This window comes from Homo sapiens, chromosome 6 (assembly GCF_000001405.40).
Source record: "Homo sapiens chromosome 6, GRCh38.p14 Primary Assembly".
Taxonomy (NCBI): Eukaryota; Metazoa; Chordata; class Mammalia; order Primates; family Hominidae; genus Homo; species Homo sapiens.
Window position 1 is genome coordinate 20782381 of NC_000006.12, and position 27347 is coordinate 20809727.

A 27347-nucleotide genomic window follows, 5' to 3' on the forward strand; every position below is an offset into this window, starting at 1 on the left:
AACAGTGAGAAGTACAGTTGTCGCTTGACTGGAGTACCTCACATATTCATTCTGTCTGTCTAGCCTGAGCCGAATTATAAATGCAAGGCTGTTTGCTTTCCCCTTCCTCAGTTCTTTTTTCCCCTTCATTCAAACATTATAATACTTTCCCGCAACTCCTGATTATCCTATTTAAAATTGCAAACTTTCTAACATTCCTTCTCTTTTTCTCAGTTGCCTTGTTTTCCTCTGTAACTTTAATTGGCATTGAAATATATAAATGATCATTTATTTGTATTTTAATGGTCTCTCCTCACTGGCATATATGCTCCATGGGGGCAGGGCCTTTTTGATTGTGTTATTTACCACTCTATCCCCAGTGAGTAGAAAATTATACACAGTAGGGATTTAATGCATATTTATTTATTGACTGAATGAATGAATAAGTTTTAAAATTTGACAGTTTAGTGGGACTATGCTAAATTATCATCATGGTACAGATTGCCTTGCAAATTGGACAATAATATTTGGAGTTTGCTGGCTAATCACACTTTCTCCTGAAAAATGCAGATTTTTTTTTCTTTTTTTTGAGATGGAGTCTCCCTCTGTCACCTAGGCTGGAGTGCAATGGCGTGATCTTGGCTCACTGCAACCTCTGCCTCCGGGTTCAAGTGATTCTCCTGTCTCAGCCTCCCGAGTAACTGGGATTACAGGTGCACGCCACCATGCCCGGTTAATTTTTTCTAATTTAGTAGAGATGGAGTTTCACTGTGTTGCCCCTGCTAGTCTCAAACTCCTGAACTCAGGCAATCCACTTGCCTTGGCCTTCAAAAATGTTGGGATTACAGGCATGAGCCACTGCACCCAGCTGAAAAATGCCGGTTTTGTGTGTGTGTTTATGCGGGGCTTTTGGCTAGACACATGCCTTTAAAACATTAGTATTTCAGGGTCTGTCAAACTCTGTTAGATTAGGATCCATTAGGTCTCTGCATGGTAACTTTCCAGGTACGTATTTGGCCTACTGAGTGTCTGTTTTTAACTGTTTATTTTTCTAGTCCCTATGTTCTTCTTCATTTTGTCACTCCCTACTTCACACCCCAGTATTCAGTCTTCCTGAACTACTTGAAATTCTCAAAACTCCAGATTCTTCTCTGTCTTGACTGCAGGCCTCCCTGTAGGTTGAAGGGTTTTCCTGGCATGTCTGTCCTTCCCCGTTCACCTCATGGGTGAGCCTCCTGCACTCAACTATGTGCTCATTTCTTGGGATGTCTGCTTGTTTCTCCCTCCCAACCAGGCTAAATCTATCCCTCACTCTAATTTGTGTCCACAACATTCCCTATGTATCCTGATTATGGCACTTTACACACTATGTCATTTGTATCTTCCACTACAATGTAAGCTCCTTGGGGGCTGAATGTGTTTCAGTTGTCATTACATTATTATCTTTGAGTTCAGTGTTTAGTACAAAGTGAGTACAATTGTCCCTCGGTATCTGTAGGGGATTAGTTCCAGGACCTCCTCAGATACAACATCTATGCATACTCAAGTACCTCATATAAAATGGTGTAGTATTGGCCGGGCGTGGTGGCTCATGCCTGTAATCCCAGCACTTTGGGAGGCCAAGGTGGATGGATCATGAGGGCAGGAGATTGAGACCATCCTGGCCAACAAGGTGAAACCCCGACTCTACTAAAAATACAAAAATTAGCTGGGCGTGGCGGCGCGTGCCTGTAATCCTAGCTACTCGGGAAGCTGAGGCAGGGGAATCACTTGAACCTGGGTGGCAGAGGTTGCAGTGAGCTGAGATCGTGCCACTAAACTCCAGCCTGGAGATAGAGCTAGACTCCGTCTTAAAAAAAAAAAAAAAGTGTAGTATTTGCATATAACCCACTTACTTTTTCCCATATACTTTAAATCATCTCTAGATTACTAATAATACCTGATACAATAGAAATGCTGCCTAAATAGTTGTTATACTGTATTTTAAAAATTTGGCTTCTTTTAATTATTGCATTATTTTTAAGTGTTTTTTTTCTTCCAGATATTTTATTTCTTTTTTTTTTTTTTTTTTTTTTTTTTTTTGAGACAGAGTCTCACTCTGTCACCCAGGCTGGAGTGCAGTGGCACCATCTCGGCTCACTGCAACCTCCGCCCTCCTGGGTTCAAGTGATTCTTCTGCCTCAGCCTCCCGAGTAGCTGGGACTATAGGCGTGTGCCACCACACCCAGCTAGCTTTTGTATTTTTAGTAAAGACGGGGTTTCACCATATTGGCCAGGCTGGTCTCGAACTCCTGACCTTGTGATCCACGCACCTCGGTCTCCCAAAGTGCTGGGATTATAGGCATGAGCCACTGCACCTGGCCCCAGATATTTTCAATCCATGATTGGTTCAATCTGTAGATATGGCACACACATGGATACAGAGGGCTGCCTGCACTCAATAAATATTTGTTGAGTAAATGTTTTATAAGTTATGAGTTCTTGTTGCTGTACATTAATTAAAAATTAATCTTAAAAATATTTAAAATTTTTTTAATGTTTACAATTTTAAATTTTAAAAATTTGCTTTAGGTAACCATTTTCAATAGCCTTTAGGTAAAATTTTTTATGTATATTATTTGAATTTTCCCTCTTGTAGACTTAATGTTTTCTTCAAATGGGCCTGCTCTTTAAAAGATTGAAAGCTCACTGGATTTGGCATCACTCTCATCCTCTTGTATCCTTCACATTAGAGTAGAGTGTTGATCCTCGGTACATTAGCAAATAATGCTTTTGATATTAAGAAAATTTAATCCATATTGTCCCAGAATGAGAAATGGGTTTCTAATTTTCTCAGACTGCTAATCATCTTCCTGAATCAGTTGCAGCCTTATCACTTGCTCTCACATGAAAGCATTCCCATACGTATTTGTCCACACTATCATTCTATAACATATTAGCTTGGATTTCTTTTTCTTTTTTTTTTTTTTTTTTTGAGATGGAGTCTTGCTCTGTCGCCCAGGCTGGAGTGCAGTGGCACGATCTTGGCTCACTGCAACCTCCGCCTCCTGGGTTCAATTGATTCTTCTGCCTCAGCCTCCTGAGTAGCTGGGACTTCAGGCACACGCCACCACACCCGGCTAATTTTTGTTTTAGTAGAGATGGGGTTTCACTATATTGGCCAGGCTGGTCTCGAACTCCTGACTTTGTGATCCACCCACCTCAGCCTCCCAAATTGCTGGGATTACAGGTGTGAGCCACTATGCCCAGCCAGATTTCATTTTTTTCATGCTGGTGGAGCTCATTGCTTTTTTTCACTTACTTTTAAATGTTTTAATATGATTATACTCATAATTATTTTTCAGTAGAAAATGAGCCTTCTCAGTAAAATCCTCACACTTTTCAAAATTTTATTGCTTCCACATTAAATATGTAGATTTCACTTTCCATAAATTTTTCATTTTTCGTTTAGGAAAAGGGTCCCATTTGTAGCAACTTTTATTGTATGTATTAGTAAATTACTGAAGTTACTATTAGAACCATTAGACTTTGCAAAGTTGTTATGCCTTGTTATATTTCTAGCTTAAAATATAAAAGTATGGCTAGGTGCAGTGGATCATGCCTGTAATCCCAGCACTTTGGGAGGCCAAGGCAGGTGGATCACCTGAGGTCAGTAGTTTGAAACCAGCCTGGCCAACATGCTGAAACCCTGCCTCTACTAAAAATACAAAAATTAGCTGGATGTGGTGGTTGGTGCGTGCCTGTAATCCCAGCTACTCGGGAGGCTGAGGCAGGAGAATTGCTTGAACCCAGGGAGTGGATGTTGCAGTGAGCTGAGATCACACCACTGCACTCCAGCCTGGGTGACAGAGTGAGATTTCATCTCTAAATAAATAAAATAAAACAAAACATAAAAGTACATCAGTTGCTTTAGCCAAGGAAGAAGTTGAAAATTTCAGATTGTATAAATTTTGGATGGGCACAGCAGGATACGGTGTGTGTGGATATTTATGTAGAATTTTTTAAAAAGTCAACCAAATGTTATGGTCAGTATCATAGGGAGTCAACATGTGCATGAATGGAAGAAATAAGCTAAGGTTGATAAGCTGTTTTCGTCAGGTCTCCCATTTGTGTGACTCCCTTATTTTTTCTTATCTTTTTTTTTTTTTTTTTTTTTGAGATGGAGTCTCGCTCTGTCACCCAGGCTGGAGTGCAGTGGCACAATCTCAGCTCACTGCAAGCTCCGCCTCCCGGGTTCAAGCGATTCTCCTGCCTCAGCCTCCTGAGTAGCTGGGACTTCAGGCGCCCGCCACCATGCCTGGCTAATTTTTTGTATTTTTAGTGGAGACGAGGTTTCACCGTATTAACCAGGATGGTCTCGATCTCCTGACCTCATGATCTGCCTGCCTCGGCCTCCCAGTGTGCTGGAATTACAGGTGAGCCACCGCTCCCGGCCTTGACTCCCTTATTTTTTCTAGCAGTGGGAATACGGTGTGGAGACGGGTAGGAGGTAGTGTAGGGGACAAAAGTAAAAAATTGGAAATTGTGGCATAAAGGACATCTGTGCTTTATTTTACCTTCTCTGACCCTATGAAAGTCATCCTTTTTGACAGTTCTTTGGCAATTTTTATCTTCCAAAGCCAAGAGTTAGATGCTGCTTAACAGTTCTTATATAAATTATATCATTTTTAAGATACTCCTATCAGATTATCCTTAGCTTGAAGGTTTGAAATCCTCCCTCAGGCAAAACACATCTTAGAAATTACTGTCTGACCCTGTGATATTTTACTGATACTTTATCTTTTAAAATTTATCTTGTCTTTCTTGTTATTTGCCATCAGACAGACATATGGTGGTAACTGAGAACCTTTAAGGGGAATATAATTTTCTTTGAGCTTATATTCTTGAATTTATTATCATTTTAAAAAGCATTTTTTTCCCCCTGTAACACTCTGGCTTTGCGAAAACTAACTCATATTTTTACACTTTATGTCTGTAATGTACAAAATTTATCAGTTCCTATTCCATTTCTGGATACGTAGGCTATCTACAAATATTTGAATGGATATTTCAAACTCATTATTTCATTATAACCTGACAACTCAGCTGTCAGATTATAATGAAAGCAAGTCCTAGTCCACAGTCTCCAACCAGAATTTAGTAAGCAAGCTGGCACGGTCCAGCTGTTCTTGTAACGTTGGTGGAGTCCTCGTTGTCTCTCTTTTTGGGTGGTGAAATCAAACTTTGTATGAAAGGTTCACTTGAGCCACATGAAGCAACATACTGTCTCACTGTAGATAATACATCCTCAGGCAACCAGAATTCCTTACCTAGTGTCTGGAGTGAGAGTGTGTCAGGGACCAAGCCAGAATCATATCTTTAATGGTCTAGGCCAGTACTAACCAAACTGTGTTCTGTGGACCAGTTAACTATAGATTGTTGGTCTGTGATGAGTACACAAATAGAGACTTTTAAGGCAGTTTAACGTCACTACAGTGAGTTATAATTCATTTTCACTGTATTTTACACAGATACTGGTTTATAAGAGGTTGGAAGTAAAAATCCTGCTCTGTCACTATATATAGTTTGAGAAACACTGATTTAGGCTAGTGTGTGTTGTAAGATTCTTTATTCTGTTTTGGAAAATATTTTACCCAATCTACTTATCTTGAGTGTCCCTTCTTTAACTGAGACCCTATTTCGACTGTCTTTTATGCTATTAACTACTTGTAATTAGTAGTTGACCAGTACTTTCAAAAATGGAAACTTATTATTTACATGCTAATTAGCAAAGCTTCTAGTATTGACTAAAGATAAAAGATAGCTTAAACATACAGAGCAATCTCCTCTGGAAGGTGGCCTTTCTGATTAAATACTAGCTAAGAGTGTGACTGTGCCTAACAGTTGTAGCTTACATCAAGTCACACAATTTATATGATGTTCACTACATTATATTCTTTCAAAAGTAAATGTATAGTTTTCCTAACATGGCTCTCATGAAACTTAAAATCTAGGTATTATAACTGCTATATTTGCACACCGTAAGGTGAGTACAGAGCTGTGGTTATTATTCATGTTCTTCTGTAAGCTTTATGGGTGGCAGGAACCTTAATCTTTGTCATGAGCCGAGAATGTGACACCAGCCTATTCTGGAGAAGGTAGTAGAATCTATAATACATTGGAAAGAGCTCTGCACTTGGAGTTTGTAGTCATAGACACTTTATTTTCTAGCTGCATGACTTGAGTAAATTAGGTGAGATCTTAGAGATGATGTCTTTTCTGGCATGGGTATAGTGCTACCTACTGAATGTATAGCTTAGCACATTAATACATATTTTCTTTCAAATCTTGATGCTGCTGTATCTTCTACTCTACCGTCATTCTCTGAGACCCCTTCTACCCTTGATTTCTTTTTATTCTTTCTATTATTTAGGTAAGAAATTTGCTGGGACTAGAATGTGAGGTTACGACTTTATGCTGTTCAATGTTGGTTCTTCAATTTCCTATTTCACCTGTTCAGTTTTAAGTGAATGTTTGACAAACAAAAAAAATTCATCTTAGTCTCTCCTGTAGCTTTCAGCGCAGTGTCTTTCTCACAGTATTCACTCCATAAATGTTTGTTAAGTATTTCACTTGACAGCAGTGTTTCTTAAATGCAGAAAAAATTTTCTGGCTAACCTGGAATATAGTTCGAATTGCTTCTCTTACTATAGATGATTGTTTTGTAGAAAAGAGAATATGATAGTTTGGACTATGAATGAAGTGAAAGTTATATGAAACAATTAAATGTGTGAAATTGAGGCATTTATGGCAATTGTGAACTGCGTTTTTACTCTTTTGTCCACAAACCAGTTGTCCTAAAATTTGCAGCCTTTTTTATGTCTTCAACGGAATCCCAAAATATCTTATTTTCACTAAAATATTATACAAATGAAATTTTAAAGTAATATTTATTTCTAGTGCATTATAAGACTGTACTTGGGAAAGATCATTCATAGGAACAGTGGATGGCACTATAGGCTCATACCTGCGAAGTAATTATCCTTAAGTTGCAGAGCTTTCAAATGCTGGCTTAGTGAATGCTTTTAAAGAGAGCAGCTCAGTCAAAAAGCTTGGACAGTATTAGGAGTTAATGTTATATTTTGTAAACTTTTTAATCATTATTTGAAATAAACTTTGAAATGAATATGTATATAATTTTCTTAGTTACTAGCATAGAGAAATTACTGATTTAAAAAAACATTTCAAATTCTAGCATGTTGTAGGATTCTATTGCCCTTTCTAAAAAGTACATCTTGCTTATCCGATTTCTAACAAAACTATTTAATTTGAAGAAGGGAGAATGAATTTGGATAAAAAGCAAAAATTTAAAGGTACTCAAATTTAGGCAAACCATTAAAGCAATCTTAGTTTACAGTTAATTGGGTAGAATGGTCAACACTTTCTTCAGGTTAGTTCATGGAGTGGATATGCATTGATAGAACAACTTAGAGATGCTTTTACAGTTGAGAAAGCTCATTATATTTGTTATCTTTAAGAATCAGCTTATTTATTTCATATGTTTGTTCTTTAAGAAGACCAAAGAGCCCTGCAAATGAATGTTGATTTGTTTTTTTGTTTGTTTAATTTTTTTGTAGAGATAAGATCTCACTTTGTTATGTTGCCCAGGTTGGTCCTGAACTCCTGGCTTCAAGCAATCCTCCTGCCTTGGCCTCCCAAAGCTCTGGGATTACAGGTGTGAGCCACCACACCTAGCCGGGACATCAATTTGTTAAACAAATGTAGTTGAACATAAAAAGATGAGTTCATGTGGTATTTGCCCTTGAGAATCCCATAGAAAAGCACAAAACAATAAAGTTATAAGCAACAAGCACAAAACAATAAAGTTATAAGCTCACATTGTATGACGGATTGTTTAGATGAGTTGGAGAGTGCTTCCATGGAAAGTAATATTTAGGCTGTGTCTTAAAATATCTTATAGGTGGATTTAAAGGCAATTTAAGCACTGGTGGGGTGGGGGGAACCAAAACAAAACCCATAAGCAGTGGTTATTGCATTGTGAAAAACCATGTCTTACACAGAGAATGATGAGTCACTGTGGTGGTGTTTTGAATAAGGGAATGGTCGGAGAAAGGTAGCTTGAGAATGCTTGGGCTCCGAACTTGGTGACGCTGGATTTTTCGTGGCCACTTTGCCAACCAGAGACCTCCACAGCCAGTGATGCCCCCTGATCCAGGCCTCACTCAGCCCTGGGCCTACCACTGGAGGCGCCCTGCCCACTCGGTCCACCTGTGCTATAGCATTCGGTGGTTCCCAAGCTCTTGTCCCACATCCAAGAAGCATGAGCTTACACTGACAATTAGAAGGGTGAGGATGGGCAGAGAAGAATTTTCTTGAGTGATGGAACAGCTCTCAGTGGACAGGGGATGCAGGGGGTGGTCCCCCCACCCCTGTAGTTGGGTGGTTTCTCTCTCTCTGTGTGTCTGGGTCTGGGGCTTTTTAGGGTCTCAGAATGGGGAGTGCATGCTGATTGGTTTGTGAGTACACAAAAAAGGTTAAAATGAAGGCACCATTCAAAGGTAGGCACGACAGTGTAGAAAACCAATAAGGAAAGGGTAGGTTAAAGTAAAATTGGTGGAGGAGGGGGGATCAATCAGAGGGAAGTGTGCCAAATGAGAAGACAGGTTCTCAATCCGGTCCGTGGATTTGACTTGTAGCTTGGCTTTCAGGCTTTAAACTGTCTTTGGTTTGAAAGTGGGGTTTCACTGGGGACCCGACACCCTCTGCCTAGGCATTTGTCTGCCTCCTGCTGCTATCATTGGCATAAGTTATTCAACCTCTCTATAGGTTTCAGTTTCCTCATTTATAAAGTGATGATGATAATAATAGTGTTGTGAGAATGAAAAGAGGTCACAGGTTTAATCAGCACAATGCCTGGCACATAGTATCTGTTCAATATATAGTATTATTAACTTTATTACTATGATAGCTATGAGAAGGCAAACCTCAGGCTTACGTAGACTGCTATTTGCTTAAGGCCACAGAGCTAGTAAGTGGCAGAATTGTGACTCGAACCACATCATCTGACCAGTTTTTTTCAATAAACCATAACGTCAGTGGCCTCTAGCCTCATTTTCTGCTTCTGGGTCTGTACTGTAGTTGTTTAGTTAATTGAAAGGAAAGCCACTTAGAGCTAAAGTTTGAGACTCATCTGGAAGATAGCCTATTAAATCTGAGAAACATGCCGTACGCAGCAGAGTTTTACAGAGAGAATGGGGAATATGGGGCTAATGTAGTGAGTCTGTCAAGTGGAGGTAGGCTGGGAGAATTTCTGCTGTGTATCTATGTTGTATTGTCAGATGACTCCTAAGATGCATCCATTTTGTCCAATGGAATGGAATTTGAAATTCCTATTATGGTTATTTTAAAGGAGGGACTGCTAAATCATATAGAGATGTATGACCATTGTGCCTTCCTTTCTTGCCTTTTTTTTTCCCACTTCTACTGGAGCTAAGGTGCATGAAAGTGAGTTGCACTTGGAAGGGCACAGTAGGAGCAGATCATTGGATGTATCCAAAGAGCCACCATCTGTCAGCTTTCCTGTTGCTTTAAGAAAACTTGTTTTCCAGCCCTATCAAGAGAGAGAAAAAAAAAAACCCTGAAACTTGTGTAGCCCAACTTTAATTAAGTATAATTGAACACACATGTGATTGTGGACGAGGGCCTGTCAGTTTTTTCCAATACAAGAATAATATATATCCCATATTTATTTTTGAAACCACTTTGCTTTTATTTGACTGCATCTCAGCATGGTAGCACCAGTTGTTTTATTTTTTTCTAACCCTGACAAAGCAGAATGTTTTGTTTGGCTTTTTAAAAAGGCAATAGTGCATGTAGTTAAGACCTCATTTACTTTATCTGATGAAACAGTCTCTGAGGAGTGTCTATTTTTTGGTAAATCCACTAAGAAAACTGGGTTTAAAACGAGGTCATTTTTAAAAATACTGGTTTCAGTTTTTAAACAATGTATGTACCTTTGTGATTTGTAATGTATATTTTTGTGGTTCTTTTTAGGTTAACCTTAAAGTAAGTATTAATTGTGAGATCATATAGGTTTACAAAGTTCTTTCTCCCTTGTGAAATATATTTTATGTACTGTTCTGTTACTGCTCTTGCGGAAAACATAAACTTTCTGAAATGGAATTTTTAGTCCGTTCTCCTCCCCCACTTTCTCCTGTCTCTGTTATTTTTTTCTATATAAGTTTATGAGAACAAGATATGCAAGTATGGATTTATTTATTTAGGACCAGGAGCCCCTTGTAACTGGAAGATATCCTCTATCAAGATTGGTGGTCTGTTTTATTCATTGGTTTGTTTTATTCTCTACTCATTCACTCATTTACTCAACAGAAATTTGCAGAACATCTCTATGTATCTGAAAATGTACTAAGTGCAATAAAAGAAACAAGACCTAGTAATGTATCACTGCTCTTGGGAGCCTTACAGTCTAGTGTAGTTTAGTTAACTGGGAAATAATTTTGTTTTAGTCTACATGGAATATAATAGTAGTTTTATATGTGTAGGACTTAGAGTTGTGTACCTAGAAGTTTACCACAAATATGGGGAATGTATCAGACTTGTTTCAAATGTGATAGCTGAAAATAGGCTCATACAATAATGGTGTACAACATGTATGTCATGTGAACCAGCAGCACGTTCTTTGGTAATTTGCCACTATTGAGAATTCTGTCACTAGCATCACATATTGTTCTCACTCTGGAATTCAGTCAACCCGGGATCCTTTGAGTGTAGATTTCTGTGCTTACTCCTAAAATTAACGCCCCTAATTTCACTTCCAAAAAAGATTGCAATTGTTAAAGCCCCTTTCTGTCTACTTCAACTTTCTCATTCTTATTTCTACTATTGGTCTTATTTTTAAAATTTTCCTACCTTAATTCTCAATTATATGCAAAGGAAGAGGCAAAGCAACAAAAATAATGACAAGGTGTCAGTAGCGGCGTTGATGTTGACACATTGCACGCATCTTGGAAAAAGAGATGTCAAATGCCCATGAGGATGGAGTATGGTTGAGATTCTGCTACTGCTGAAGGCAAATTTTCCTGTTGTTTCCATGATGCCTAATAATGGCAACGTGATGGTTGGCATAATGAGAGTCTTCTGTATAAGTGAGTTGACTTGCACTTAAATATTTTGCAGTTATTTGTCAGTTATTTATCAAATGATTGTTTATCAAATAATTTATCAAATAATTAATTTTCTTAATTTTATTGGAGATTTGTCATCCAAATGTTACATTTGGAATATAACTAACATACTTTAATACTCCATTAAGTTTCAATTTGTATGGTAGATATTCAAGGATGAGTGATGGAAGAAAGAATAATATAGACATTTCAGGGATTGTTTTTTTTTAATTTTAAATTTAATTCTTTCAGATATATATTATATATATATATATCCTAATTAGGTTATATATAATATATATATACATATATAAATATATCCTAATTCAAAATCTAACTGTGACTGAGACTCATGCATAGAATATTTTCTGATGTACTTTACAAATGCTTATTTGAACAGCATCAGTATGGCTTGCCTAATTTCTTAGTTTCTTTTGTTTATCCCAATACTGCTTTGCTTATACATATATATCTTAAAGGTTTCTAAACTTAGAGACCTGTAGATCCTAGACGGCTTTAATTGACTGATCTTTTAATGTCTGTATTTTCTGTTCCCTTATCTTGTAGTTTTTTAAAATCCTTCTTTAAATTATTGTTTTGTTCTCTTATTTTTCCATTTTCTGTATCTGCTTTTTCTTTTGAGCCCACACTTTTGACTTTTATGTAAGAATCATGTTTTATTAAAAGCCTCTTTTTTTGGTATAGTAGGTGAGAAAGAAGTAGTTGAATTTAAATATATCTACTGTAAATATATGGATTTGTCTTTTGTAACACTGCCTTGCCAAGTGTTTGGATAGATAGTAGAGTAGCATGACAGTTCACACAGTGAGCAACAGTTTGATTTAAGCTATTTGTTTATGTGCTACACTGCTTAAAATCTCTTACCAGCTAATGAGAATGATCTGAAGACTTTTTTTGTAAGAGATGGGAAAAAACCCTTTTAATTAGGGGTAGACTTTGTAAAATACTTAATAAGTTTCTTTATTATTTGTAGCCCCATGGCCAAATACCTACTACCCACACACTTTCTTAATACAAAACTATTCATAGTTAATTAAAAATCTTTTTGGCAGATTCACATATTCATAGACTGTTAGAGCTAGAAAGGATTTTAGAGATTTAAAATCTTTTCATAGATGATAAAACTGAGGCCCCAAGGACTAATGTCCGAAAGTTTGGTGGCCCACAGATTGTACTCACTTTTAGGAGAATAAGGTTCATGACAAACAGAGGTTACTCTCACAGGTGATACACCTTCATCTTTAGGATTTTAGGGGTCAGTGAAAGGATTAGAAAGCAGATTAGATTTTGTTTGTGGTCTGCAAGACATCATAAAATGATATTTGATGTTAGTTTGTATTGAAATATATGTAGGTCAAAATACCAGAAACTGGTATCACTGTGACCAATACTGTTTGGTGGATCAGAGGAAAACAGTGAGATTATCTGTCAAGTGAATTTGATTACATGGGATAAAGGCACTATTGAGACTTCTGTTTTGGTGTGAGAGCACCTTTGGAAAAATTCTGGACTTCATATCACCTTGTTTTCCTTTTCTATTCACTCATTATTTACCTTTCCCATCCACACTTCTGGTTCTGCCATTTACCTTCCTTTAATTCCTATAGGTTTATATGTTTGTATTTCTAGTACCTAATAGTTACTAGCTCATAGAAGCTCTCAATAAAAATGTTTTTACGACTCAGTTTCTAAATGCTAATGGTATGTTTTCATTCTAAAGTCTCTTTTGCTGTTTCTTGAGTCTTGAATCTCTATTCCAGCCTTTCTCAGTTCATGTTTTCTGAGAGAATTAAGCCTAAACATATGTGATTGAATGTCCTAAGGCATTCATTATTTAGTGAATTAACCTTCTCCCAAGCATCTAGAATGATATTAGCTGCATACTATCCTTGAGAGAATTAAAAAGTAGTCACTCAGATTATTTTCTGCAGTGCATAATTCTCTTGGAATAGTGGTTGAGAAAGGCTGATTTATTCACTTTATCAGATATTCCAAATAACCATCTTAAAGCTTACTTTTCTAAGAAATGCCATCATTGATTGACTTCATTTTAATTGTTCTTTTACTTCACATTTTCTTAGTACATAGACTTAATTTTTACTAACGGCTGTTGCCAAGATGGTGATATGCTGAATGGGTTATAGTAAATTTGGTTTATTCTTTAAAAAGAAACATAAACAAAAAGTATATAATAGATTTCTCATGTTGCTATTTTTTCTCTTGAAAAGCATATACTACCTGAGTGTCAAACTGGCCAGTGCTTGGGTGAACTTCTATGTAAGGCTTGTTAGGTCTGTGATGACACAAATTCCAAGGGCAAAGGAAAGAGATTGGAACTAGTAGATGCAACATGTTTAAAGCTGACTTGGCCAGTATAAGTGATCCTTGAGAATCAGCCCTCTATTTAGGCATGGCATCTAAGGCTTGTAACTGCCTGGGTTCTTATTTCCAAAGGAGTCAATGTTAGATATACCAGGGCCCAGATTTATGAAAATACAGAAAGAAAACTGTGCCTATTCACAGATGATATGACTGTCTACATAGAAAATCTCAAGGAGTCCATAATAAAACTTCTGGAACTCATAAGTGAATATAGCAAGGATACAACATAAACCCATAAAAATAAAACATCTTTCTGTATACCAGCAATGTGTAATTGGAAAAGGAAATACAGAAATTATTTATGTTATGCAATAGCTCTAAGAAAAATGCTTAGATAAAAATCTGACAAATTATGTATAGGATATGTATATGGAAATTTACAAAACAGAAGAAATCAAAGAAGATCTAAATAAATCATGCAATGTTCAGGAATTGGAAGATTCAGTATAGTAAATGACAATTCTCAAGTTGATGTATAGATTTAAAGTAATTTGAATACAAATTCCAGTAAGATTTTTCTTGTAGAAGTGGAGAAATGGATGCTAAATTTTATATGGAAAGGCAAGGGAAGTAGAGTTATCTAAAACAGTTTTGAATAAGAATAAGGTTGGAGGAATCACACCATCCTAGTTTAAGACTTACTGTAAAGTAGCAGCAATCAAGAGGTGTGGTAGTGGTGAAGGGATAGACACATTAAATCACTGGAAGGAGACTAACAAGTCCAGGAAGGTCAGACCCATGCAAATATGGGCAGTTGATTTTGACAAAGGCGCAAAGTTCATCCAAGGGAGAAAGCAGTGTTTTCATCAAATTGTACTGGAGCAGTTGGGTATCCATATGGAAAAAGAACAAAACTTTGACCCAAATGTTAAATGTATATGAAAGTTAACCCAAAAGGGATCCAAGTTCAAAATGTAAAATGTAAAACCTTTTTTCTTATTCAATTCATGAAAATAAAAAATAAGAGGTAAAACTTTAAAAATTGTAGAATAAAACATAGGAGAAGGTTTCTATATTTATGGTTAGGCAAAGAGTTCTTAGACCTGATACCCAAAAGTATGATCTATAAAAGGATAAAAGATGGACTTAATCAAAATTAACAACTTTTGCTCTGTGAATGAAACTATTAAGATAATAAGAAGCAATCTGCAGGCTGGGAGAACATATTTGCAGATCACATACACAGCATAGGACTTGTATCCAGAATATATAAGGAACTTTCAAAACTCACTAGGAAAACAACCAGATTAAAATACGGGTAAAAGACTTGAACAGAGACATCACAAAAGGGGATATGCAAATGGAAACTAAGCACATGTAAAGTTTTTCGACATCATTAACATCAGGGATCCTATAACTCACCTATTCGACCAAGTAAAATGAAAAATATTGATAGTACCAGGTACTGGAGAGGATGTAGAGCAATTAGAGCTCTCATACATTGTTGTTGGAGATGCTAAATGGTACAGCCATTTGGAGAATGAATTAGCAGTTTCTCTAAAAAGTTAAACATGTACTTATCATATGACGAACGTCCTACTTTTAGGTATGAGAAATGAAAACGTAAGTTCACCCAAAAATCTGTGTATGAATGTTTATGGCAGCTTCCTTCCTAATTAGCCCAAACTGAAAACAACTCCTGTATCCTTTAGGGAATGAATGGAAAAATCATCTGTGTTGCGTTCACTTAATTGAATACCACCAAACAAAAAAAGGAATGAATGATTGACATCCCCAACATCTTGGATGGATGTAAAAAGCTTATGCCAAGTGAAATAAGCCAATCACTAAAAGGCTGTATGTATGATTGATTGCTTTATTTTATTTTATTTTATTTTATTTTATTTTATTTTATTTTATTTTATTTTATTTTATTTTATTTTTTCTTGGAGACAGGGTCTAGCTCTATCGCCCAGGCTGGAGTATAGTGGCGCAACCACGGTTCGCTGCGTTCTCTGTCTTCTGGGGTCAAGCAATCTTCCCACCTCAGCCCCCGGAGTAGCTGGGACTACAGGCATGTGCTACCATGCCTGGCTATTTTTGTATTTTTTGTAGAGATGGGGTTTCACCGTGTTGCCCAGGCTGGTCTTGAACTCCTGGGCTCAAGTGATCTTCCCACCTCGGCCTCCCAAAGTGCTGGGATTACAGGTTTGTAAGCCACCTCACCTGCCCTATATTATTTATTTATATGACATTTTCAAAAAGAAAAAACTATGGTGATGGAGAAGAGATCAAGGATTTTTAGGGGTTAGAGATTGGGAGGTGAGGAGGGCAGAGAGTGTTTGGGTAAGGGTATAGCACAAGGGAATGTTCTAGGGTAAAAGAACTCTTCTGTAGTCTTTTGATGATGGTTGCACATACCAATACATAGGCTAAATTCATAGAACTGTACACCTTCCAGAAAATGAAATTTATGTCAGTTTTAAAAAAATTATTCTGTGAAGAAAATAATATTTATTAAGAAATATTTAGGTAGAGAACCAGGGTAGATTGAAAATTGTGTTAAAAGCATGCACACGTATGTTTATTGCAGCACTATTCAGAATAGCAAAGACTTGGAACCAACCCAAATGTCCATCAATGATAGACTGGTTTAAGAAAATGTGGCACATATACACCATGGAATACTATGCAGCCATAAAAAATGATGAGTTCACATCCTTTGTAGGGACATGGATGAAGCTGGAAACCATCATTCTGAGCAAACTATCACAAGGACAGAAAACCAAACACCGCATGTTCTCACTCGTAGGTGGGAATTGAACAATAAGAAGACTTGGACACAGGATGGGGAACATCACACAACGGGGCCTGTAATGGGATGGGGGGAGGGGGGAGGGATAGCATTAGGAGATATATCTAACGTAAATGACGAGTTAATGGGTGCAGCACACCAACATGGCACATGTATACATATGTAACAAACCTACACGTTGTGCACGTGTACCCTAGAACTTAAAGTATAATAATACAAAAAAAAAAAAAAAAAGAAAAGAAAATTGTGTTAAAAGGTTTGCATCTCATTTAAATTGGAACAAAGTCATCTGGACTGAGAGGAAAATGGGCCTGGGCCCATATATTTGAAAAGAACTGAGTTTTTTTTTTTTTTTTTTTTTTTTTTTTTGAGACGGAGTTTTGCTCTTGTTGCTCAGGCTGGAGTGCAATGGCATGATCTTGGCTCACTGCAACCTCTGGCTCCCGGGTTCTAGCAATTCTGCTGCCTCAGCCTCCCAAGTAGCTGGGATTACAGGCACGCACCACCGCACCTGGCTAATTTTGTATTTTTAGTAGAGACGGGGTTTCTCCATGTTGGTCAGGTTGGTCTCGAACTCCCAACCTCAGGTGTTCCACCCACCTTGGCCTCCCAAAGTGTTGGGATTACAGGCGTGAGCCACCGTGCCCGGCCTAGAACTGAGCTTTTGAACTGTTGCTAAGGGTAAATTAGGTATCACTGAACTTACCCTCAGTAATGAATGGAATATGTCACCTGTGGGTAATATGCGACGATTAATAAGACAGTTACCACACCTACTGTATACCACTAAAATAATAAATAAGAATTTTTAAAAAGACAGTTATATAGCAGGATTATGTCGTGATTTGACTTATTATATAAAAAATTTAACGTATGATTTTCCATTAGAGGAAATACTCTTTTGTTTTGGCAATTCCTGCCAGTCTCCATTTGTTGATCAGAAGACATCTTTCAGTAGTATTGTATTGCTACTGGAGGTAGGATTGGGCCAAGGTGGAATCTGGTTAGAACAAAAATGCCACAGAAGAAAATCATTTGGCTTACCAGTAAGCTGATGTGTGCATCCTCCCCTTACCTTCGTGCACATGTGTACACCAGACTTGCAATTTGTCTTGATGCTTTGAGTAGAGAAAGAAATAATTATTGCTTTGGAACTTGTGCCTATAAAAACTGTACAAATCTAAAAGTACTTGGTCACTTGTACTCATGATGATTTGTTTAAATTTACCCTTTTGCATGTTAGTAGATACTGCGAAATCTTAATCAGGCCCTTATATTTACCATTGAATCATCTTAGCCATATATTTGGAAGAATTGCAAATCCCCCCTTTGCAGGGCTGCCTATGAAAATCTATACAATGGAAAAGCAACAGCATGGATTCCCTACAATATCTCAGAGCACCCAGCCCTGCTGGAACTGCTGGACCAGCATATACATGCTCAGCAGCCTTTTTCTTTTCTTTTCTTTTAAAGCAGATTCTCATAGCAGCTTTATTTGCAATAGCCAAAAATGGGAAACAACCCACAGTGTGAGATAGGGTTACAATAGAATATTCCCCAGCAACATAAAGAAACTAACTCTGGGTACATGCAAAAGCATGGATGAAACTCAATTATGCAGAGTAAAAGAACCCAGACAAATTTATGACACACTACATTATTCCAACTAAACTGTAGAAAATGCAAACAAATCTCTAGTTCCAGAAAGCAAATAAGTGAATCCCTGAGGCAAATTGGTCTGGGAGTGGGGAAGGGAGGAATTGCAAAGGTACACAAAGAAGCTTTGTAGGGTGACATATATGCCCATTGTCTCTTATGATGATGTTTTCATATATATGTATGAAACACTTCTAAACTCTCATGCCCAGCTTTTAAAATTCTTTTGATACTTACTAGGAATTTTAAACTAATTTGACATCCTTCTTTTTTGAGGGTGGTGGGGGATAGAGTCCTGCTCCGTTGCCCATGCTGGAGTGCAGTGACGTGATCATGGCTCATGGCAGCCTCGACCTCCCATGCTCAAATAATCCTCCCACCTCAGCCTCTTGAGTAGCTGAAACAACAGGCGTGTGTCACCTTGCCTGGCTGATATTTTATAGAGATGGGTCTTGCTATGTTGCCCAGCTTGGTCTTGAACTCCTGGGCTCAAGAGATCCTCCTGCCTTGGCCTCCAAAAGTGCTGGGATTATAGGCATGAGCCACCACACCCAACCAACTCTTTCTTTCTTTTTTGGGGTAAACAGGTCTTGCCCTGTCATCCAGGCTGGAGCATGATGGTGCTTTCAAGGCTCACTGCAGGCTTAACCTGCCAGGCTCAAGCAGTCCTCCTATCTGAGCCTACCAAGTAGCTGGGACTATGGGCATATGCCATCACACCTGGCTAATTATTTTTATTTTTATTTTTGTCAAGACAGGGCCTTATTATGTTGCCCAGGCTGGTCTCAGACTCCCGAACTCAAGTGATCCTCCTACCTTGGCCTCTCAAAGTGCTGGGATTACAGGCATGAGCCGCCATTCCTGGCCCCTTATTCTTTCATCTTGGGTTTTTCCCTGAAGAAATTTTCTATCCTCATCTACCACCTTAGGCTTGCTAACGAGGCTCTGCAGATGAAACCATAGCAGGCTTTTACATTTTTTCCCAAAATTTTATTATGAAAAATTTCAAATGGACAGCAAAGTCGAAAAAATTTTACAGTGCACACCTGTCTACCCACCATGAAGATTGTTATTAACATTTTACCATCTTTATTATGTCATATCTTTCTTCATCCATTTCTATTCATCCATCAGTCCAACTTATTTTTTTAACATGTTTCAAATGAAATTGCAGACATCAGAACACTTCCTCTAAATACTACATCAGACGTGACATTATAGACATCAGTATTTGTAGGATTTTATGTAAAATTTTGAAACCATGGAATATATACATCTTAAGAGCAAGCACATGGCTGAGTTTCGACAAATGCGTATGCCTGTGTAACTCCCATCTCTATTTTTTAAAAAACCTGTGACCAGATAGTATTTACATAATTTCGCAATGGAAATATAGTAATCCCCCTGATTTATAAGGATGTGTTGGTAAATAGTCTGCATTTTCTGTGTTGAGATCAAAGCTGTAATCCCCTCCCTGTCTTTGTCCCTATAGTGATGGAAATAATAGATTATTTTAGCCCAATGTGTAACATCCTTCTTAAATGTATTAAGAATTTTAAGTGTGCTATTATGCAACAACTTGATAAAATATTTTCTTAAAATATGTGTTTTTAACCACATGCAATATTTGCTGTTAACCTTTAAAAAATATGAATGACGGCCGGGTGCAGTGGTGGCAAACGCCTGTAATCCCAGCACTTTGGGAGGCCGAGGTGGGCGGATCACAAGGTTAAGAGATTGAGACCATCCTGGCCAACATGGTGAAACCCCGTCTCTACTAAAAATACAAAAATTAGCTGGGTATGTTGGTGCACGCCTGTAGTCCCAGCTACTCGGGAGGCTGAGGCAGGAGAATCATGTGAACCCAGGAGGCGGAGGTTCCAGTGAGCCGAGATTGCGCCGCTGCACTCCAGCCTGGCAACAAAGCAAGACTCCGTCTCAAAAAACAACAACAACAACAATAATAATAATAATAATAATAATAATAATGTGAATGAGTTATTTTTCTTTAGCAAATCATTTTCTTCATATTACTTTCTAAAATACTGAAAGTATATGCATGTCCTCACCCTATAGTCTCAAAAAGAAAGAAAAACATCATTCCTACTACAGTACTCTCAACCTTTGTATCTATTGTTTGATTAGGCAAATATATATATTTTGGAGATATATATGTGAAATATATACATACACATATACATGCATTCTTATATGTATACACACACATATATAAGAACATATATATGTTCTTCAACATAAGCATTCTTTCCAGTTGGATGATTGCAAAGGGGTACCACAAAACAGGCCTTACAGTGATTTAAAAATGCTTTGAGTCACAGGCATTTACAGGTAGTTCAGTAGAAAATTTTGATGTTCGTTTCAAAAATGCAAAGCATTTCTCAGAGCACAGAAAGATGATTGTGAAGAAATCTGACCCTGAAGGCCAGTGAGTGGGTGGGGCTTAGACATCTTAAATGTCTTAGATTACTCTGTGTCTGCAGAAAACTTTTTTAATTGGATTGCAGGAAGGAGAAGAGTACTGCTGAAATTACCAGGAAAGAACATGCATTTTTAAAATGCAGAAGAGACATCCTAACATGTTATCTTGACAGATGTCAGGATTATTTGGGGACAGTAATGGGCTTGACCTACAAGGAACTGACAGAATGTCTGAACTTAATCTGGAATTATATTAAATAACCTGAAGCCACGTTTGTTGCCATCTCTCAAGTGTATAGGATTGAAATTGTGAAAACTTTTTTACTTAATATTTGCTTATATGTGGGTATACATTTGTGATAGGGTTCCAGAGAGTTTGCAAACAAGGTAGAGGAACAGTGTTATTAGGAAGATTACCAACTCCTTAGGGTGGTATAAGAGTCCCATGGCTTCTTCCAGCCTTTTCTCTCCTTTCCCTGTTACAACTAATACTCATCAATGCCAGCCTGCCTGTCTCAACATACCATTCTGTAACATGTGTTAATGCCCTTGTGTATGCCATTACTTCTGCTAGGCCTGCTTAGCCAACTATAGTCATCTTTCAAAACTTTGTCAAATATCGCCTTTTCCATGTCAAGTGTCACCATCCTTCTCAAGGAAGAGTTGTTAATCACGTTTGTACAATTTTTATCATAATATATTCTCAGAAGATGCAGAGAGGAGAATAATTGAGAACTAAAAATAAGCCATTGGCGGTGATAGTAAAGTGTTCATGGTAACCTGACAGCAATTCCAGGAGAGTTGTTTAGGTTAAATGCAGATTGACGTAGGTGGAAGAGTGGGCAGGAGATGAGGCATAGGGACAAGATAGTATCTTTTAAGAAGTTTGTTGCCAGTGGGAAGAGTAGAGATGGGGCTCTAGTTGGGGAGAATCAGGGGAGCTGATGTTATTCTTGTGGTTTTAGGAATGGCAGAAATAGAAAATAATTTTATATTTAAAAGAAATAGCTACTGGGAAAAGAGAGAGACCAAATAAGAAGTGAGACTATTTGGTAGAGTAAGTTTCCGGAGCATATGGGATCGAGAATGTAGGTGGAAGTGCTTAGGATAATATAACACTTCTACCTTCAAGGCAGGAAGATGTGTTGACAAGGGTGGATGAATTTTCATTATTTTTGGTCCTGTTTAGGGAAAAAGAAAATGAAATGTGATATTTATATCATTGGTCAACAATTTTCCAATATTATATATTTAATTATTTTCTCTTCTACTGACATTTATGGTATTCTGTTAAATCTTTGAATATAACTACACTATAACATTTTACAATGACTATCTACCAATTTGAAAAATAACTTGAATGGTTTAAGAATTACTATTAAGTCATTCAGTAAAAATGACTTAATTGAGTGCATACTATTGTGCCAGCTATGATGGTAGGTGTACGGATACAATGATGAAATACAGAAACAGTTGTGAATTAGTTGTAAAAATTCAGAAAAGAAACAATGGTAGTATGAACTCAGAGAGAGAAAATAGAATGAGAGAGGCAAGAATAACTGGGACTAAGAATACAGGTGATCGGTTAGTTCAAGGATTAACAAACTACAGCCTGTGGGCCAGAGCTAGTCAGTTGCTTTTGTTAGAACAGCTTGTGATCTAAAAATAGTTTTTACATTTTTTAAACAGCTGGGGAAAATAAAAAGAAACATAATAATTTGTGATACATGAAGATTACATGAAATTTAAGTTTCAATATCCATTACTATTTATGGATATTTTTAATTTTATCAGGAAACAGCCACATTCACTCATTTTAAAATTGTTTTTGACTGGTTTCATGCTGCAGTGGCAGAATTGAGCAGCTGCAGCAGACAGTATCTATGATGTTGTACAGGAAAGAGTCAATAGAGCAGGTCTGGGCTGCCATCTTTAGAAGGATCTGCTTGGTACTGGGGCCATGGGGGTGAGGTTAACCATTGAGTAGTATCTGGGAGCCTGACTCCTAGAATTTTCCCTAAGCTGATAAAAGCATTTTTCCTGCCTGGAGTACAAACGCCTGCTTTCCTTCTGCTAGTCTACTGTTTTGATAGTTGTGACTAGTCATCATAACTCTGTGACCAGCCCAGAATAAAAGTCCTGTTGTTTGAGCCCAGGTGTTTGAGGTTGCAGTGAGCTTTACTTGTGCCACTTCACTCCAGCCTGGGTGAGAGAGTGAGACCCTGCCTCTAAAAAACAAAGAAAGAAAAATTAAAACCTGGGATTCTGAGTCTCTAATGACCTGCTCTAGGTAGAAAGATCATGTATGTGTGTTACTGCATTTCACTGCTGGATGGACTGTGTTCTGTATGGCTTCTCCTGAGAGGTAAAGCACAGGAAGCCTGTGCACAGATTCCTCCAGATTTTACCTGATGTGTCTTTTTCTGTTACTAATTGCTGTACTAAACTATAGCCATGAGTGCAACTGTCTCCTGAGTCTGTGAGTTCTTCTAATGAGTCACCGAATATGTGTGTTAGTATCTAGAGACCCCTGAAACTGGAGCTTTCATTGTTTGCAATGCTGGTCAGCACACTATAAATTGCAGTTACAACTAACTCCACAGTGTTTTCAGTGGATGTATATCACTGTTTTTATTTTACTTTATTTTTTATTAGCAGGGCATACCCATCATGCCAAAATAAAAGCATAGTTTGAATATCTCACTTTTAAGGCACAGTGGAGTGAGGATTACTTTGTTATCAAATTAGATGGCAAAGCGTTGTGTTTATTATGTGGTAACTATAGCTGTGGTAAAAATAATACAATATGCTTTAACATTAGCAGACTAAGCATTCATCACAATATTCCCAATTCACAGGAGGGCAACAGTCAGAAAAATTAAGACAACTTAAAATGGAAAATCTATTCTCAGCAGAAATTTTTTGTAAGTATAAAAAAACGAAAATGAGACTATAACCACTGTAAGTTTCTGATTGGCACATTTGTTACCCAAGCAAGGAGATCCATTTATCAGTAGTGATTTTATTAAATCATGTTTGATTGCAGCCGCTGAAGAAGTATGTGCACTGAAAATAAACTTAAGACTATTTAATGGCGAGAGCAGTTGCTCAAAGAGTTGAGGATATGGGGAGATACAGCAATATTTAATTTAAAAAACAAGGCATATGATTTCAAATGTTTTTTGGGGTCTTATTCTTTTTTAATTTTCAACTTTTAGGTTCAGCAATGTGTGTAATATGTACAGGTCTTTATGTAGGTAAATTATATGTCACAGGGGTTTGCTGTACAGGTAATAAGTGTAGTACCTGTTAGGTAGTTTTTGGATCCTCACACTTCGCACATCCTCTACCCTCAAGTAGCCCCCAGTGTCTGTTGTTTCTTTCTTTGTATCCATATGTACTCAATGTTTAGCTCCCTCTTATTAGTGAGAACCTGTGGTATTTGGTTTTCTGTTTCTGCGTTAGTTCGCTTAGGATAATGTCCTGCAACTCCATCCATGTTGCTGCAAAGGACATACATGAACTTATTCTTTTTATGGCTTTGTAGTATTCCACATACCACATTTTCTTTGTTCAGTGTACCGTTGGTGGGTATTTGGATTGAGTCCATGTCTTTTCCATTGTAAATAGTGCTGCGCTGAACATACATGTTTCTTTATGGTAAAACAATTTATATTCCTTTTGGTATATATGCAATAATGAGATTTCTGGGCTGAATGGTAGTTCTGTTTTAAGTTCTTTGAGAAATCGCCAAACTGCTTTCCACAATGAGTGAGCTGATTTAATTCCCACCAGCATGTTTAAGTGTTCTCTTTTCTCCACAATCTCACCAGTATCTGTTAATATTAGACTTTTTAGTAATAGCCATTCTGACTGGTCTGAGATGGTATCTCAGACCAGTTGTGAGTCAACAGATTTTTCTAGTACTATTCAATTGTTGTTTATTAGAGGAGGCAATGATGAGTTTGAAGTGAATGAAGAATTAGCTTATCTGAATACCTTATGTGGAACAACTACAAGCGAGGATATTTACAAGGAAATTAATAAAGCATTACTTAGTTCAAGCTGAAGTGGAATCTGCTAAGATGTGTTACAGCTGATACGGTAAAAATATGTGTGAAGCAGAACAAGTCTTAGATTTACAAATCTGTGAAAATGTAGAGTGTTTAAAGCATATGTTCATTGTATTATTCGTCACTAGATACTGATGAAAGTATTTGTATCTGTCATGTGCTGAACTGAAGTGTCATTGGTGAACTTCATTTCATTTACTCATGAAGACTTAGCCTTTGTCAGTTCTGGGAATTATTGTCAGAAACTGAAGCTGATTATTTTGACTTGCTCTACCACACACAGCAGTTTGGTGGTTTAGTAATGGCAAAGTTTTACTGTTATTTATTTATTTATTTTTGAGGTCAGGGCCAAAATTGATTTTTTTTTTTTTTGAGACGGAGTCTCGCTGTGTTGCCCCAGGCTGGAGTGCAGTGGCACGATCTTGGCTCACTGCAACCTCCACCTTCTGGGTTCAAGCGATTCACCTGCCTCAGCCTCCCGAGTAGCTGGCACTACAGGCGCATGCCACCACGCCCAGCTAATTTTCGTATTTTTGTAGAGATGGGGTTTCGCCATATTGGCCAGGCTGGTCTCGAACTCCTGACCTTGTGATCGGCCCACCTCGGCCTCCCAAAGTGCTGGGACTACAGGCGCAAGCCACTGTACCCGGCCTGAAATTTTTCTGAATGAAAAGAACTGCCCTTCTCTACTGTTTCTGAACACTAAATGGCTTTGGAAATTAGGTTTTACTGGAGACTTTGATAATATTTCCTAATAAAATTAATCCAAAATTAATCCAAAATTAAAAGCAAAATGGCACTTATATGTAAAACATATTACTGTAAAGTCATTTTGATAGCAACGAATATTCATGTCATATGTAATATCAAGCTGCTTTCTACACTTCATGTGCCATCAAAAGTTAAATGAAGAAGCAAGCTCTTTATTGCCTTCCAAATTTGCAGCAGATAAATATTCTGAGCTCAAACTACAGCAACAGTTTTTTGGACTTCAATAAAGAGCAAAGTAAATTTCTGTACTTCAAAATCCATTTAAGGGGTGCAGTGAGGAACTCACACCTAATCTTCATTGGGATTGATTAATCTGTATTGTAAATGACATGCTGAAAGGTAAATATGAAGAATAGAATACTATAGATACCTTCCAAGTGATGAATTTGCTCAGTTAAAATCACGTTTGTTGATTGCTATCAGTATTTGCCATTACTTATCTGTGTGAAAGACATTTTAAAAAATGAAATAAGTAAAATCTCTTCATATGTCAATATTAGCAGATTAAAATTTGTAATTAATTTTGTTGCTAGGGCATTTTACCTTTGAACCCAAATTAAGTAAAATATTATTCTTCCACAGAGAAAAAATTCTATTCTTCTCCTTAAGAGATTTGTATTACAAAAAATTGCATTTATTATTTTTATTATTTTATTTTGGATGTTGTCAATGAAAAGCTTATGGTAATTGTTTTCACTCTTATTATGTAAGTACCTACATAATAACCTTGACATTGACTTTTGGCCTAGGAAGTCTGGTGATGAAAAATATTTACTATCTGTTTCTTTAAAGAAAAAAATTTGCCATCTTTTTGTTAGTTGATTGGATGTGCAAAGGGGGTTGATGGAAACAGGGAGAGATGACGCCCACAGTTCCTGGCTGGAGCATTATAGCAGTGTTCTTGCAGACAAGGAGTTCAGAGGGAAGAGGAATTTTGGTAGTGGGACAAAGATAAGTTAGTTGAATTTTGGATCAGTTTTTGAGATGCCTATGGGAGATTTTCAACAGTTGGTTGAAACCAACTGTTGAAAATTTGGTTCTGGGTTTCAGGAGAGAAGATGGGATTGGATGTATGTATTATTAGTATGAGGTAGTAACAGAAAATATGGATGCTATTTTGATGTATCCTGTACATTATACTTATTTCGTTCACAAAATAAGTATATTTTTCTACTGTGTTTTCTATTTTGAAACAAGGCTGATTTTTCACTGGGCTCCTGAAATAGACTCTGGTCACTAAGTAACTGCTGTCTTTGATTTTGTGTTGAGGGAGCTGTTTCAGATTCTCTTCTTGACTACATGGCATAATTCTCTTTTACTACATCAAACTTTAATTTTTAGCTATAACACTTGAAGTAAATCTTTTTTGAAGGCAAAGACCATACATGCATTTTGGCTCTATTAATATTGCTTGCAGAAACCACAGTGTTTTTATCAGAGGGAAAGCAAAAACTTGTTTACAGTGGAAAGCATAACAAAATCTGTGATCTTTTTGCCTGAGGACTCTTTCCAAAACAACTTACTGTAACAGACATCTAAGGTCAGTATTTCCTAATTAAGACTTTTCAGCTACAGCTCCCAACCCCAGTCATCACTCACAGGGCCATTCCTTCCTTAACGCAGTGGGTATTTCAAGTTATTAGCACCCAGGGGCCATGCGTTTCTTCACTTAATATGTTGAAGAATTTTGTTCTACTTCATATCACTAATGATTTTTAACTTTTTTGGGTGTCTGTTTCCAAAATCAAATTTAGAAGTACAACAAGCTGATTAGGTATCACTTTTTGTAGCCATCTGAGAGCAGAGGTATCATTTTTTGTAACCATCTGAGAGCAGAGAATTTAATGTATTGATATTTTACTACACTTGGAATGATTTTTGGATCTGGAGTAGTTGGGAATGAAACCCTTGCTTCCTGGCCTTAGAGGAGGCAACATACTTTTTTCCTTTTTTTTCTGTTCTCATATGCTTTCCCCAGAATGCATCATTCTAGTGAATACTCAGTAAATATTTGTTCCATTGAATTGAATAAAATGAGCAAAATAGAAGGCTAACAATTGAAGAATAAGTAAACGTAGAAAGGAAGAA

At 37.2% G+C, this 27347-nt stretch overlaps 1 protein-coding gene across 16 annotated transcripts in view, besides 1 other annotated feature; it reads left to right on the forward strand.

Moving 5' to 3' along the window:
• Window positions 1-27347, forward strand: part of CDKAL1 (CDKAL1 threonylcarbamoyladenosine tRNA methylthiotransferase) — a 697948-nt gene that overhangs the window by 247924 nt on the left and 422677 nt on the right. The window contains exon 1 of one of the 16 annotated variants that reach the window (XM_047418956.1): window positions 16928-23339. The exons of the other annotated variants lie outside the window; for them this stretch is intronic. The gene's annotated coding sequence lies outside the window, so the exon portion shown is untranslated. Of the gene's footprint in view, window positions 1-16927; window positions 23340-27347 lie in introns of those variants that run through there. 16 annotated transcript variants of the gene reach the window in all.
• Window positions 15453-15643: a silencer, noted in NCBI's record as "fragment chr6:20798064-20798254 (GRCh37/hg19 assembly coordinates)". NCBI's record gives its function as "represses an EF-1alpha promoter that drives an FKBP-Casp9 reporter gene in an ReSE screen in HepG2 liver carcinoma cells {active_cell/tissue: HepG2}" and the evidence as "EXISTENCE:reporter gene assay evidence [ECO:0000049][PMID:32094911]".